Consider the following 13,172-nt stretch of genomic DNA (forward strand, 5'->3'; position numbering starts at 1 on the left):
ACACCCTTTGTGAATTGTAATAAATGAGTGTTCTAACTGTGATGTTTAGATGAAACATTTTATTTGAAAATTATTTGGGGGTCTTAGAAGGCAGGTTTGTAGGGAGCGTCTCTGTAATTTTGAGGAGGGGAAGACAGCCTGTTGGCTTTTTACCTGGTAGCCTTGTTGGCTAGAGAAATGGGATTCTTCCAGAGCCCACTTACCACACCCCTGCCTGCCGGTTCTCAGACTCTTTAGGGTTCCTGCCAATAACATCATGGTAAAATCCAGGCAGGCAAGCAAGCATTTTCTAGATACTTCGTAATGTCTTCTCCACATTTGTCTAAAAGCCACTTAAAGTTTTAGAGCTGCGTATGTATTGATTATGTTACTATACTCCCAATACAGCAATACTACTTGTTTATAGTCACTGTTAAGAAGTGAAAACCTTCCATTTCATTAAGACTTTTGTTGTTGTTCTTGTTAATATGATTTGGCTTTTCATTGCCTAATTGATACCACAGCACGGGTTCCAAGTTTTCCAGGACACTCTTGATTGGAAATATTCTACCTCTACAATTCCATAAATGCTTTTGGGTTTTCAGGTCATGGTATCATGGTTTTGCTTTAAAAATTGTGGTACCTGTACTTTCTGATAGCTTAAAAAAAGTTTACAAATCCGTGGTTAGAACCTTAAAGAGTGTTCTCAGTGGTCCATGTGCTACAACTGAGAGGCAATGAGGCTTTCTTACGACAAGGATTGCCATTTGTTGTTGCTGAGCTCTGAGCACACTGGCGTGTACTTGTGTGAGTACGTGTGTGTGTGTGTATGTGCGTGTTTGTGTGTGTATGTTTGTAGCAGTGCTCTAGAGAGTGCTTTTTTTGAGACAGAGTCTCACTCTGTCGCCCAGGTCGGAGTGCAGTGGCATGATCTTGGCTCACTGCGACCTCTGCCTCCCAGGTTCAAGTGATTCTCATGCCTCAGCCCCCTCAGTAGCTGGGATTACAGGCCTGCACCATCACACGTGGCTAATTTTTGTACTTTTAGTAGAAAAGGGATTTCGCCATGTTGGCCAGGCTGATTGCAAACTCCTGGCCTCGAGTGATCCACCTGCCTCGGCCTCCAAAGTATTCTTTAGGAGGTGTCCCAGACATTTCCTTTCTCATACTAAAAATTGCTTTTTAAAAAGCAAAGCATCTAGTTTCAATGGAAAAATTACAGTGTCATATTTACCTTTAAAGAAAAATTTTGTAAAGGATAAATTATATTATAAAGGGAAATACAGTTTTAACAATGAATTAATTCACTAGCAGTGGAGCACTAGAGTGATATGGCTTATGCCCTAAAATGATAGATCAGGACAGGCATTAGTGGGGCTTTTCTGCCTGTGAAGGTCTGGAGGTATATTCTCAACTCTGGTGGCTCTTAGGAGCCTTTGTCAGAGTCTCAGGACTTCATTCCTTCATTTACTCACTAAGCAGGTTTTGAGCACTTGCTGAGTATTGAGGGCTCTACTCAGGCCTATGAAAGAAGTTTAAGGTCTCATCTCTGCCGTCCTGAAAGCCCGTATCTATGGAGGAGATGAGACGGTGTATTTGAAGGCATTCTCTGATGACTTGGGCGGGGGTTAGTAAAGGCTATACATATTCTTGGAAGGGGAAGACCTTTCTGGCTTTGTGGTCAGGGAGGGTTACAGGAACATCTGAAATCACCCTTGATGAAAGAGCCATGTTTAACCTGTAGGAAGAAGGAAGAACTAGGCTCATTTTGGCTTAAGTTGAAAGTGTTTAGGTTCAAGTTGGTAATAATGGTTGGGCAAGACTGGAAAGGAAGATAGAGCTGTGTGGCTGGGGGCTGGAAGTGGGATAGAAATTTGGTTCTATTATTATTATTATTATTATTATTATTATTATTATTTGAGACAGAGTCTCGCTCTGTTGCCCAGGCTGGAGTGCAGTGGCACAATCTTGGCTCACTGCAAGCTCTGCCTCCCGGGTTCATGCCATTCTCCTGCCTCAGTCTCCCGAGTAGCTGGGACTACAAGTGCCTGCCACCACCCCCGGCTCATTTTTTGTATTTTTAGTAGAGACGGGGTTTCACCGTGTTAGCCAGGATGGTCTCGATCTCCTGACCTCATGATCTGCCCGCCTGGGCCTCCCAAAGTGCTGGGATTACAGGTGTGAGCCACCGCGCCCAGCCAGGAATTTGGTTCTATTATTAATCAAGTTTACTGTGGGGAATTTTTCTTGATGTCAAATAGGTCTCCACAAAAATTTGCAGTAGCTTGGAGCCATGTCTCTCAATGTTAGCCATGAGGAATATCCACTTGTATGCTTCGGTACCACTTTTTGAAACGGGTTAGGACAGGATTTCCAGAACTTTTACTTTGCAAATGTCTTTGTTAATCCTCCCTTACTTGATAACCTGTTCTCTAAGCAGCGTCTGCCCTCTGAATGTCGACGGACTGGCGTCAGCAATGACAGAGACCAAGCTGGGGGCATCCCCTTTGCCCCTGTTTCCTCTGCTCCCAGCATCTGCTCAAGTCAATACCAACATGTTGGGATCTCTGCTGTGGCAACTGCAGGACACTGAATGGTGGACTCTCCATCTGGGAGTCTCAGTTGCTAGGTCTCGTCCCTTGCAGCCACCTGCTCTCATTGCGATGACTTGGGCTCTCTGCATGGTTGTGGGGCTCACTGGGATCTGGTGAAACTGATGGCAGCAGCCCTGCCCACCCTAAGGGCAGCTGCTCTTCATCCTGAGGATGTCTCTATCTGAGGGCATTTGGGTGCAAAGCCACAACCCTGGGCAGCCCGCCCTAGGCAAACAGTGCTATTTAAGTACCTACAGAATATCTTTGATTTTGCCTCTGGGTCTGCAGGGCCTAAAATATTTACTATCTTGCCCTTTACGGAAAACATTTGCCAACCTCTGCTTTACATCTGCACTGTTCATTATGGTAGCCACTAGCCACGTGTGGCTTTTGAGCACTTGAAATGTGACTAGTCCAAAATGAGATGTGCTTTGTGTATACTTACACATGCTGGAATTCGAAGGCTTGGTACCAAAAACCCATAAAAGAGCTCAATAAATTTTTTATTTGATTACATGTTGAATGAATATTTTGGATATACTGGGTGAAATAAAATGTATTATTAAAGTTAATTTTACTTATTTCTCTTTACTTCTTTTTCATGTGGCCACTAGCAAATTCAAAATTACGTGCATGGCTTACATTTGTGGTGCGTATTATATTTCTGTTGTCCAGTGCTGATCTATAATATAGCATCCAAGTTTATTGTCTACAGACTTCTGTTTTCATGGAGCCTCTTGAATAAACTGAGCTCGTTTTTCCTTCTTCTTCATCTTTTTTGTTTTTAAACAGAGTCTTGTGCTGTTGGGCAGGCTGGAGTGTAGTGGCGTGACCTTGGCTCACTGCAACCTCTGCCTCCCAGATTCAAGTGATTCTCCTGCCTCAGTCTCCCGAGTAGCTGGGATTACAGGCACCACACCAGGCTAATTTTTGTATTTTTAGTAGAGATGGGGTTTTGCCATGTTGGCTCAGCTGGTCACGAGCTCCTGGCCTCAAGTGATCCACCCGCCTCGGCCTCCCAGGTGCTGGGATTATAGGCATGAGCCACTGCACCTGGCCTCGTGTTTCTTGTGGTACAAGTTTAGCAAACATGACTGATCCCCAACATGTTTTAGGTTAGGGTTTGTGTTTTGTTGACACCTAAGCTATAATTTAATTGATGTAAACTCTTACTTTTAAATAAAGATTATACTTTCCTTTGTGTTTTCTAGATCCAGATGTTTATTATGCTCTGTTTTATTTTAAATCAGGTATTCCTTTGTTATTCTTCTATCATATGTGTTCTTAAAAATCTATGAGGTATACATTTTCTGTGATGTAAAAATTATGATCTTATCATGTCTAATCTTTGATCCAGCAACTCTACTTCTAGGATTATGACCTAAGGAAACACTTGTATTAATGTGCCAAGGTGTGTGTATAATAAGTAGGCTCATTAGAATGTTGTCATTAATAATGAAAAATTGAATACAACCTCAATGCCCGACTATAAAGATTGAGTACTTAAACTATGGATTATCCACATAATTGTATTTTCAATGTAAATGATGGTAATGAGTTATTAGAGAGTCTCTATAGAGGATCAATATTTTAAAGATAAATGTATGAATTTGTACTTTTAAGAGTTCTGAAAGAGGCCTGTGTAGTGGCTTATGCCTGTAATTCCAGCACTTTGGGAGGCGAAGGCGAGTGGATCACTTGAGTTCTGGAGTTCGAGACCAGCCTGGGCAACATAGTGAGACCCCATCTCTACAAAAAATATGAAAATATTAGCCAGATGTGGTGGCAAGTGCTTGTAGTCCCAGCTACTTGGGAGGCTGAGGTGAGAGGATAACTTGAGCCTGGGATGCGGAGATTGCAGTGAGCAGAGATTGTGCCACTGCACTCCAGCCTGGGCAACAGAGTGAGACCCTGTCTCAAAAACAATAACAACAACAAAAACAACAACAACAGAAGTTCTGAATGAAACAGATTCTGACCGTTCATACTGATTCTCTTTGATGGGGAAGATTGGGGTTAATTTTCTTCATGCTTATTTATATGGTCTATTTTTCTGTAGTAGACTTGTGTATCTTATATAATCAAAATAATTATTTAGCCATTTAGTAATTGATATACGATGTAGCTACATAACAAGTTCAAAATTCTAAGTGAAAATATTTTTGTGGCATGAGAATTTATAAAAGTCTATTTTATTGTCACATAATGAAGGATGTTAGATAAAGAGCATTAGCCCCAGAGATTAGTCACGTGTTGCAAACAAATTGTTTTGGTAGTAAAGTAAGGAGTAAAGAAATGTGTACTCTCTAAAAAATAAAGTTCTTATTTAAGCACCTTCTGAGGTCTACCCTGGATTCTCTGTTTTGCTACAATTGTGATCGCCAGTGACTTTCCCACTAAAATAATTTCCTGAATATTTAAGTGTTTCATGGCTAGTTATTTTTAAGTGACCCAGCACAGGAAGGATGTGGAGGGGGTGGAGTATTATGGGAACTCCTGCCAGTTTGTGGAAAAATTGAAAGTGAACTAAGGCCACCAAAAGGAGTCTGAAGAGAGTGTTAGGTATGAAGCAAAGATTTTTGTTGTGGAAGATAAATATAGAGTGTGTGCTTGACTCCAATAGGTCTTTAGGTGTGTGTGTGTGTGTGTGTATGTGTGTGTAAGCGTTTTATTTGTTTCCATGGTGAAATTCAATACAAAGAGTCAGTTTAACAGTTGAAACTTCAAAAGGTAAGAAACTGGTTTTTATTATAGTAGTTAACAGGTGAGCCCTAGCTAGCAAGCAGAGCTCTACTATTGGGATTTACCTTTCACATTCACAATATTAAATAAAACTTTATAGATGCCATCACATAGTCTATATCTGAAATTATATGTTTTGGGAAATTTAGGTATAGCTTCAGCTAAGTTAATGGGAAATGTCACTGGCAATATGCACATCATTTAAAAAATTGGTCATAAATCTTTTAGATCATTAAGACATTCATGGAGTTAAATGCTACCTTCTCAGTCCCAACCAAGCACTCTGGAAGTCTCCTTTGCACACCCACTGCCCCATACACAGCTCTTATAGCACTGGGATATTGTTGGTTATTATCTGTGTATCTGTCTGTCTTTTATTCAACTCTGAACTCCTTAGAACTGTATCTTATTTGCTTTTGCATTTCTAACTACCAGTACAGGTATGTAGTTAGTTTCACATAGTCAATGTTTACTGAAAGAAGGAAAGTAGGAGAGGGGCATTCTGTATGGTAAAATTTTTAGTCTCCATATTCAAAAGGCAGTAGTCTGAATAGTCTGAATTGCTCCATAGTGGATGCCTTGGGGACATAAGGAAACGCAACAGTCTCTAACTTGGAGTTTAAGCTACGTGTTGCAAGGAGAAATCTACCATTTGTATCTGTTAAGGTTCATCTTTTCATCTTGCTCATCACTGCTTGATTTCAAACCTTTATATTACCTCAGTTGAACCGCTAGGTGACCTCCACACCTCCTTTCCAATTCATTCTCCACATTGCCATGGCACCTGTTTCTCTAAATTGGTCAGATCATGTTATTTTCCTGCTTAATATTTGCTGTTGGCTCATTGTAACTGCTAGATAATCCACCCTCTTTCCAGAACCTTGAAGCCCTCGGAGGTCTGGCCCCTTTACTCACACTGCCCCCATATCTGGGCCCCAGTCACACCATACAAAGCTAGTCATCACTGCTTAACAGGCTGTGTGCATTGCTGTTTTCTTTGCTTGAAATGCTCTCCAGCTTTCTCCTTCTGCCAGATGAGCTCCTTTTCTACAGAAGACCAACTCTCTGACCCTCTGGGAAGTTTGCCACACCTTGCCAGTGGTCTCTGCATAGTACTTACTAACTCTTTGATTTACAGTGACCTTATGGGTCTGTCCTTTGCTTCTGGACTTTTTCTTTAAATTCCCATTGTTCAGCTACAGTGCTCAAGAGGTAGGAGCTCCCATTTGTTGAGCACTGACTGTGTGCCAGGCATTGTGAGAGACTTGGTTCTCACTGGATTAAAAAGTCCTTGCGGGCAGGAACCACAGTTTACCCTAGGCTAAGCATTCGGTCGAGTGAGAGCTCTTTAAATAAAACACATTGGTTGAATGTAGACCTCCCCATCATCGTTTTAAAATAGACAAGTAGTTCAGTCGTTTGAATTCAACACTAATTTTATTTCAGCTTCATGAAAAGACAATTTTTGGAAATAAGTGCTGGGTGATTTGTAGTGACGTCACTTATTTACTCTGCTAGTTTGTTTTTGAGCACATGATGCATGCTTGTGGGAGAGCAGACAAGGGAGGGAGCACAGGGAGCTGGCTTCCACTTAATACTCAGAAGGTTGCTCTGGAACACTGGGGAAAGAGGGGATAAAGTCAGAATAGTGATGAGCATACAATGTAGATTCTTCGTTAAAGAAAACCACTGTGAAATAGCTCATCACAGTTTCATATAACTTGAAATACTTCATGACATACATTCTATTCTCCAGCTGCCACCTCCATCTCTCCTGTTCCTTTTTGCCTCTGTTTTTGATCACGGTGTGAAATTCTCTTCTCCCATCACTTTCTAATCCAAGCATTATTTTCTTAGAAAGCTACTTAGAGATCACCTCCACAACACTTCCTGTTATATCTGTCATCTTTCTCTGTGTTTCATTTGTACCACATTATCATCTCTACTCATGTGTAGTTTTGAAATAAATGTGCGTGTGTGTGTGTGTGTGTGTGTGTGTGTGTGTGTGTGTGTGTGTAGTCTTCTTCTTCTTTAAGACAGAGTCTTGCTGTCACACCCAGGCTGGAGTGCAGTGGCATGATCTTGGCTCATTGCAACCTCCACCTCCTGGGCTCAATCAATCTTCCAACCTCAGTCTCCCAAGCAGTTGGGACTGCAGGCTCATGCCACCACAGCCGGCTGATTTTTGTATTTTTTGTAGAGACGAGGTTTCACCATGTTGCCTAGGCTGGTCTCAAACTCCTGGGCTGAAGTGATCCCCATGCCTCGGCCTCCCAAAGTGCTGGGATTACAGTGATGAGCCACCACACCCGGCCTATCATCTCTTTAATTAGTCTGCAAAGTCCTTTTAGCCAAGGACCATGTCTTATTTTTCTTATAAGTTACCTAGAGTTCTTAGTACCATTCTATGAAGGTTGTTAATAAATGTTAGAGTCTTGCTGAATTAAGTCATTGTTATGTGTTTAAAGTCTTAATTGATGTATATAGTCCAGGCCCTGGTGGATACTTTCTGCACTTCTCTGTCAATTGCTACTTAATAGCAATTGAGAGAGCCACTGTCTGCTTTCAGATGCTGACTTTGCCAGGTATTAGCAGTCTAACCTTTCTGTGCTTCTGCTTTCATCTCTTAATGAGGCAGAAGTAACATCTCCTCATAGAGTTGAGTCAGGGATAATGTAAGAAGGCATTTGTAAATATGGCTTAACAAACATTCCTTAAAAATGTTGTAATGTTGCTTAATAACGTCTGGCACATAACGAATGCTTGATAAATAATAGCCATTATGTATAGTTTGTACATACAAACAAAAATAAAGCATAACAAAATAGGCATAGTTTGGACATACATAATTTGCCCTAATGATTGTAAATTTTACTTTTTAAATTGCAGACATTAAAAAATTAAGGTGACATCCATTGAGCATCAGAAAGTTGAGCATCATAATTGATTTTTTTTTTTTTTAGACAGAGTCTCGCTCTGTCGCCCAGGTTGGTGTGCAGTGGTGCAATCTTGGCTCACTGCAACCTCCACCTCCGGGATTCAAATGATTCTCATGCCTCAGCCTCCTGAGTAGCTGGAATTACAGGCATCACGCCTGGCTAATTTTTATATTTTTAGTAGAGATGGGGTTTCTCCATGTTGGCCAGGCTGGTCTCGAACTCCTGGCCTCAAGTGATCCCCCCGCGTCTGTCTCCCAAAGTGCTGGGATTACAGGCATGAGCCACTGTGCCTGGCCATATAATTGGTATTTTTTTTTAAAAGAAAGAACTCCTTTACTTTGTGTTGATATTCAAAATCAGATTAAGTTACTCTAAATCAGATGAAGTCAGTTGTATAAAGCCTTACCTAAGGGTACCAGATGTTAAAAGAATTGATCCAAACATACTTATGGAAATGTTACTGATGATTTTGCTCATTTCTGTTTGGCTATTGTTTTTTGTTTAGACATTCTACTGTAATGGGGGATGCTTAAAGACTCCTTTGTGTGGAATTCTGTATTGGAGCAACCTTTATCATCAGAACAACTAATAATGTTGTTGCAGACTTTGGCGCTACTACTGTAGAGTGAAAAAATGTTTTCATAAAGTGCCACATCGTGTTAGTAAATGAGATCTGGAAGATGGAGATGGACTGTGAACAGAGAGGGAGCTAGCCTGCTCTCCTCACGTGCTGAAATAAAAGGTTCCATTTTGAAGCCTGGGCTTCACTATATTCTTGGATTTTGAAACATATACTATGATGGTCATTGTAACACAGTGTAGTTATACTGTAGTTAATCATGCTACCAGTCAACTTGTTAAACTTAGTATAATTATTTGGTGGTAAAATACAATTACAATAAGAGTTATAATGAGGTGAGAGGGATGGTGAGCCCTTGGAGAGCTATTTCCTCACTTCAGACCACTATTGTTTGTCTGGATTGCTTATTGGACTCGAGAATTCCTCTGCTCATGTACTCTGTGTTCCCCTTCTCCCCACCACCTACCTTAGAGGCTGCCAAGGTGGAGAGGGCAGATGGCTTTGTGTATAAAGGCTGCATACATGTTTTTGCTGGGGACAAGCGGGAGCTGTGTCCCCTGGAGAAAGTAGGGTCATTTTCTTAGAACACAGGTGCCTTCTATTTGCTTAGCCCAGTGCTCTGTCGCCTAAAGGAAAGACCTCTTACTAATTTGACTGCCAGATGTTTTTTTTTTTTTTATTTTCTTTTTCTGCTCACTGGAGCATCATTGATTAAACTGCACAAAGGCACCAATGTGTTGTTTAGTGGTGGCTTGATTTCCACGTTCTGTAGGAGGTAGGTGAGCTTCCCTCGTGCCCAATTTCATGTCCAACCCAGAGCCAATACTTGGAATCCTGAGAATTTTCCAAATACTCTTGTCATCCTCTTGCCAGTGAAAGGAGTCGGGAGGGGGCTCCAGGAAGAAGTCGTCTAGACCCCCATTGCTAAGCCAAAAAATTTCTGCTGTTAGGGCTTCCTATCTGCCGGGGGCATTTTCCCTTCTCTAGCTGGCTTCTGTTAGGAGCTCTTTGTGGCAGGAGCCCTGTTATGTTGAGCAGGGCTGTCGGTCCACACCTTTGCTGCCTCACCCCAGTGCCCCACTGGGCTCCTGTTTGGTGTTGTCCTTTTGTACTTCCAGGCTAGGTTTTTCCTTCCCATGGGTTGAATTGCTGGCTGGCTGGCGTCTTTCACATTCTTGTGGTTTCTAAACTCCAGTGGGAATTCCTTGGTGTAAATCTGGGAATGAGCACAGGTAAGGACAGTGACTTCAAATGTCCATTGTACACTAGAAGTGCTGACTGTTCTAGTACATGAAGGTTCACAAAAGGTGAGCTGCATAGCTCAGGTTAGTGATAGTGCTTTTGTGGGTCATAGGAGTTTGTCAGTTTGTAGGTCATAGGAGTTTGTCAATTAGACTAGAGCAGGAAAGTTATTTACCTTGAGAAATGGCATAATCTCATTTTTCATATCACTGTAGATGTCTGGGACCCATTATTTTTGTCAGCACTTCTTAATTTTATAAGTTCACTGACAGAATATCTGAACTTCAGGTACCTTAGAGCCAGGCCTCTCAAACCTTACAAAGATCTGCAAATCCCCTGGAGGCCTTGTAAAATGCAAACTTGGGGCCAGGTGTGGTGACTCATGTCTGTAATCCCAGCACTTTGTAATGCCAGCAATTTGGGAGGCCAAGGCAGGCAGATTGCTTAAGCCCAGGAGGTTGAGACCAGCCTGGGCAACATGGTGAAACTGCATCTCTACAGAAAAGTGTGTGTGTGTGTTGGGGGGCCTGAGGTGGGAGGATCATTTGAGCCCAGGCGGTGGATGTTGCAGTGAGCTGAGATGGTGCCACTGCACTCCAACCTAAGTGACAGATGAGACCTTGTCTTTCAATAAATAAATAAATAGCAGAATCTCAGGCAGGACCTGAGAGTCTGCATTGCTAACAAGGTCCAGGAAGACCTTATCAGCCTTTTCTCACTCAACAGGACTTTGACCTTTTTCACCTTTTTCCAGTTTTACCCCAAAGTCCCACCTTACATATCCATTTTTATTTTGTTTTATTTTATTACTAGAGCCATCTCTAGTGTGCCTGTTTGCTTTAATATCAATGAGATGTATATTGATGTACATTTTTAAAAAACCTTCTGAACTATTGAATGCATTTCCAAGATAATATATACAAAAAAGTAGTTGCTCTTATTTTTAAAATATTTTTCTCTTTAAGTTATGTAGCCATGTTCAAATTGTACAGAAATGCTTTTTTGAGCACCTGTAGCTTACGTAAACCCTTTGCCAGGGACAGTGGCTTTTAACCTGACTAACAACACATGTGAATTCTGGAGGCAAAAGGCCCTTAGGTAAGAAAGTGCTGCCATGGCAGGTGAATTTAAAATGTAGGGAGACTGCATGGACAAGGGAATAATGACTCTTTGGATGAGATGTCCTGGGAAGAAATTCCCATTAGGAAGGTCATAATGCATACGGGCTTCATATCGATGCCTGCTGTGTCTGTTCCCACCCTCTCCTGGCACCATGATGTCTCCACCTCCTCCCCTATCCTGGACCAGAGAAGGCCCAGTGCCCCAGCTGAATTTCCTTTTAACATGCAGAATATCACTCTTCTTTCTGTTACATGCACACACAGATACACACACACACACAGAGACAAGAGAGAGGAGAGAGACTCTAAGAGACCAAGACTCTCAGTAAAGCCAGTACTGTCCTTGGTAGGTCCCTGCCTCTTAAGGTCTGAATGCTTCCCTTAGTGTTGAGACTGCAGGAGAAAATTGTCTCCCCAATCCCACTCAGGGGCATCAGTGGCCTTCACATCCCCATGCCTGTAGGGAATTGACTTTTTTGAGGGTTTCTGCAAGTTTACTCAATGTAGTGTAGTATTTGCTCCACCTTTATTTCTGGTTAATAAAGTGAAAAATGAGTGTTCTAATTTGCAGAAGAGAATAGGAGGGAGATACAATCAGGTTCTTACTTGTGAAAGAGGGAAGAAACTCTCTGACAAACAGAAAACAGTTGGTTCCAGGATAAGCCTCAGGGTAAGTTATAAAAGTTCTCATTCCAATTTGAGCTTGTTTATTGTTTTAATGGAGTAAATATAGATTAAGCTTCATGAGGAAAGATACATGTCACTATTTTCAGTCTTTTTTGAAAGTTCATTCTGAATTTATCCCTGCCTCATTTCAAATGGATTTGATACAGCCCACAAAGATACACCTACAAAGATTAAAAAATAAAACAAAATACACAAGGAGATGAGGTGGAAAGAAAAGAAGCAGGGAGTATGGTCAGCACATGAAACATTTTCTAGAAGATGCTATTTACTTGTTAGAAGTGAGGTACAAATTTGGCCAAGAGCTTCCAGGCTCCTTGAGTCAGTGATTGATAGATTCATAATGTTGAAAAGATTAAGGTAAAACCATTTTTTCCTGGGCTGAGACTCGAAAGAAACACCTCATAAAAGGAATCCTGTGTGTGTTTTGAACTGTGTTCTCAGCAACATTACTGAAATAAATAGCATAGTGTTTTGTGGGGCCATTTTTCAATCTGTCCTTTGCTAGAGGTTGATGGCATAATGTCTATGCATAATTTAGTGAAGGCTTTTCTATAGGGGCCCAAATGACAGAGTCTAAGCCTGCACCTCCCTGGCTGCCTCCAGGGATGAAATGACAGTGTCTGGAAATGGATGGACACCATATCCATGATACATTCTTCCGTGAATATTATTTTGCTCAACCAAACCATATTTTTAGAATATGTTAAGTTAAATGGAAATATTTTAAATTAATCAGTGGAACATTTGTGCCTAAAGCTTTTGATAGTAGAAAGTCAACAACTTTAATTTCAGGGCAAGTATATACAAAATAGAGTAAATCCAGTGGTTTCTACTCATCACTCCGTTTCCTAATTTATGTAGTGAGAGCATTTAAATGTTTCATCAAGGTCCTTTTTGTCTCAAAGCCCTCTGTAGTAGCCAGGATCTTGGCAAGAAAGAGCTGACATTCTCAAACTGGGCAATTGAGGCACATTCAATAAAGAGATGATTTACCAAGGGAGGGCAGGGCTTTGGGAACCAATAAGGCCTAGTGCAGTGCCCAGGGCTGGCTAGAGCAGGGAACCATTCTCACCTGTAGGCCTGAAGGCAAGAGGGAAGGGAGTGGTTATAGAAATTAGAGATTAGCTTTAGGGAATTATTTGACAAAAGCCATAGAGGGTTGCAACCAATCGTGGTAGGGAGTTGAGCTGGAGAGATGGCTACCTCAGTTTCACCCCTTTCCCCTCTCATCTCTTGATGGTGGCCGCTGTGGGTCAAACCCAGCAGGAAGCCAGAGGGTTTCCATGTA

General features: G+C 41.5%; 1 protein-coding gene across 5 annotated transcripts in view, besides 1 other annotated feature; it reads left to right on the forward strand.

Annotated features, from left to right (window-relative positions):
- RASGRF2 (Ras protein specific guanine nucleotide releasing factor 2) overlaps positions 1 to 13,172 on the forward strand; it is a 269,800-nt gene that overhangs the window by 20,358 nt on the left and 236,270 nt on the right. Inside the window, exon 1 of one of the 5 annotated variants that reach the window (XM_047417463.1) lies at positions 4,588 to 5,303. The exons of the other annotated variants lie outside the window; for them this stretch is intronic. The gene's annotated coding sequence lies outside the window, so the exon portion shown is untranslated. Of the gene's footprint in view, positions 1 to 4,587; positions 5,304 to 13,172 lie in introns of those variants that run through there. 5 annotated transcript variants of the gene reach the window in all.
- Positions 4,910 to 5,204: a silencer, noted in NCBI's record as "tiled region #14075; HepG2 Repressive non-DNase unmatched - State 7:EnhWF, and K562 Repressive non-DNase unmatched - State 22:ReprW". NCBI's record gives its function as "represses a minimal TATA promoter and a strong SV40 promoter by Sharpr-MPRA in HepG2 and K562 cells {active_cell/tissue: HepG2 | K562}" and the evidence as "EXISTENCE:reporter gene assay evidence [ECO:0000049][PMID:27701403]".

The sequence above is a fragment of the Homo sapiens genome, chromosome 5, assembly GCF_000001405.40.
Source record: "Homo sapiens chromosome 5, GRCh38.p14 Primary Assembly".
Classification (NCBI taxonomy): Eukaryota; Metazoa; Chordata; class Mammalia; order Primates; family Hominidae; genus Homo; species Homo sapiens.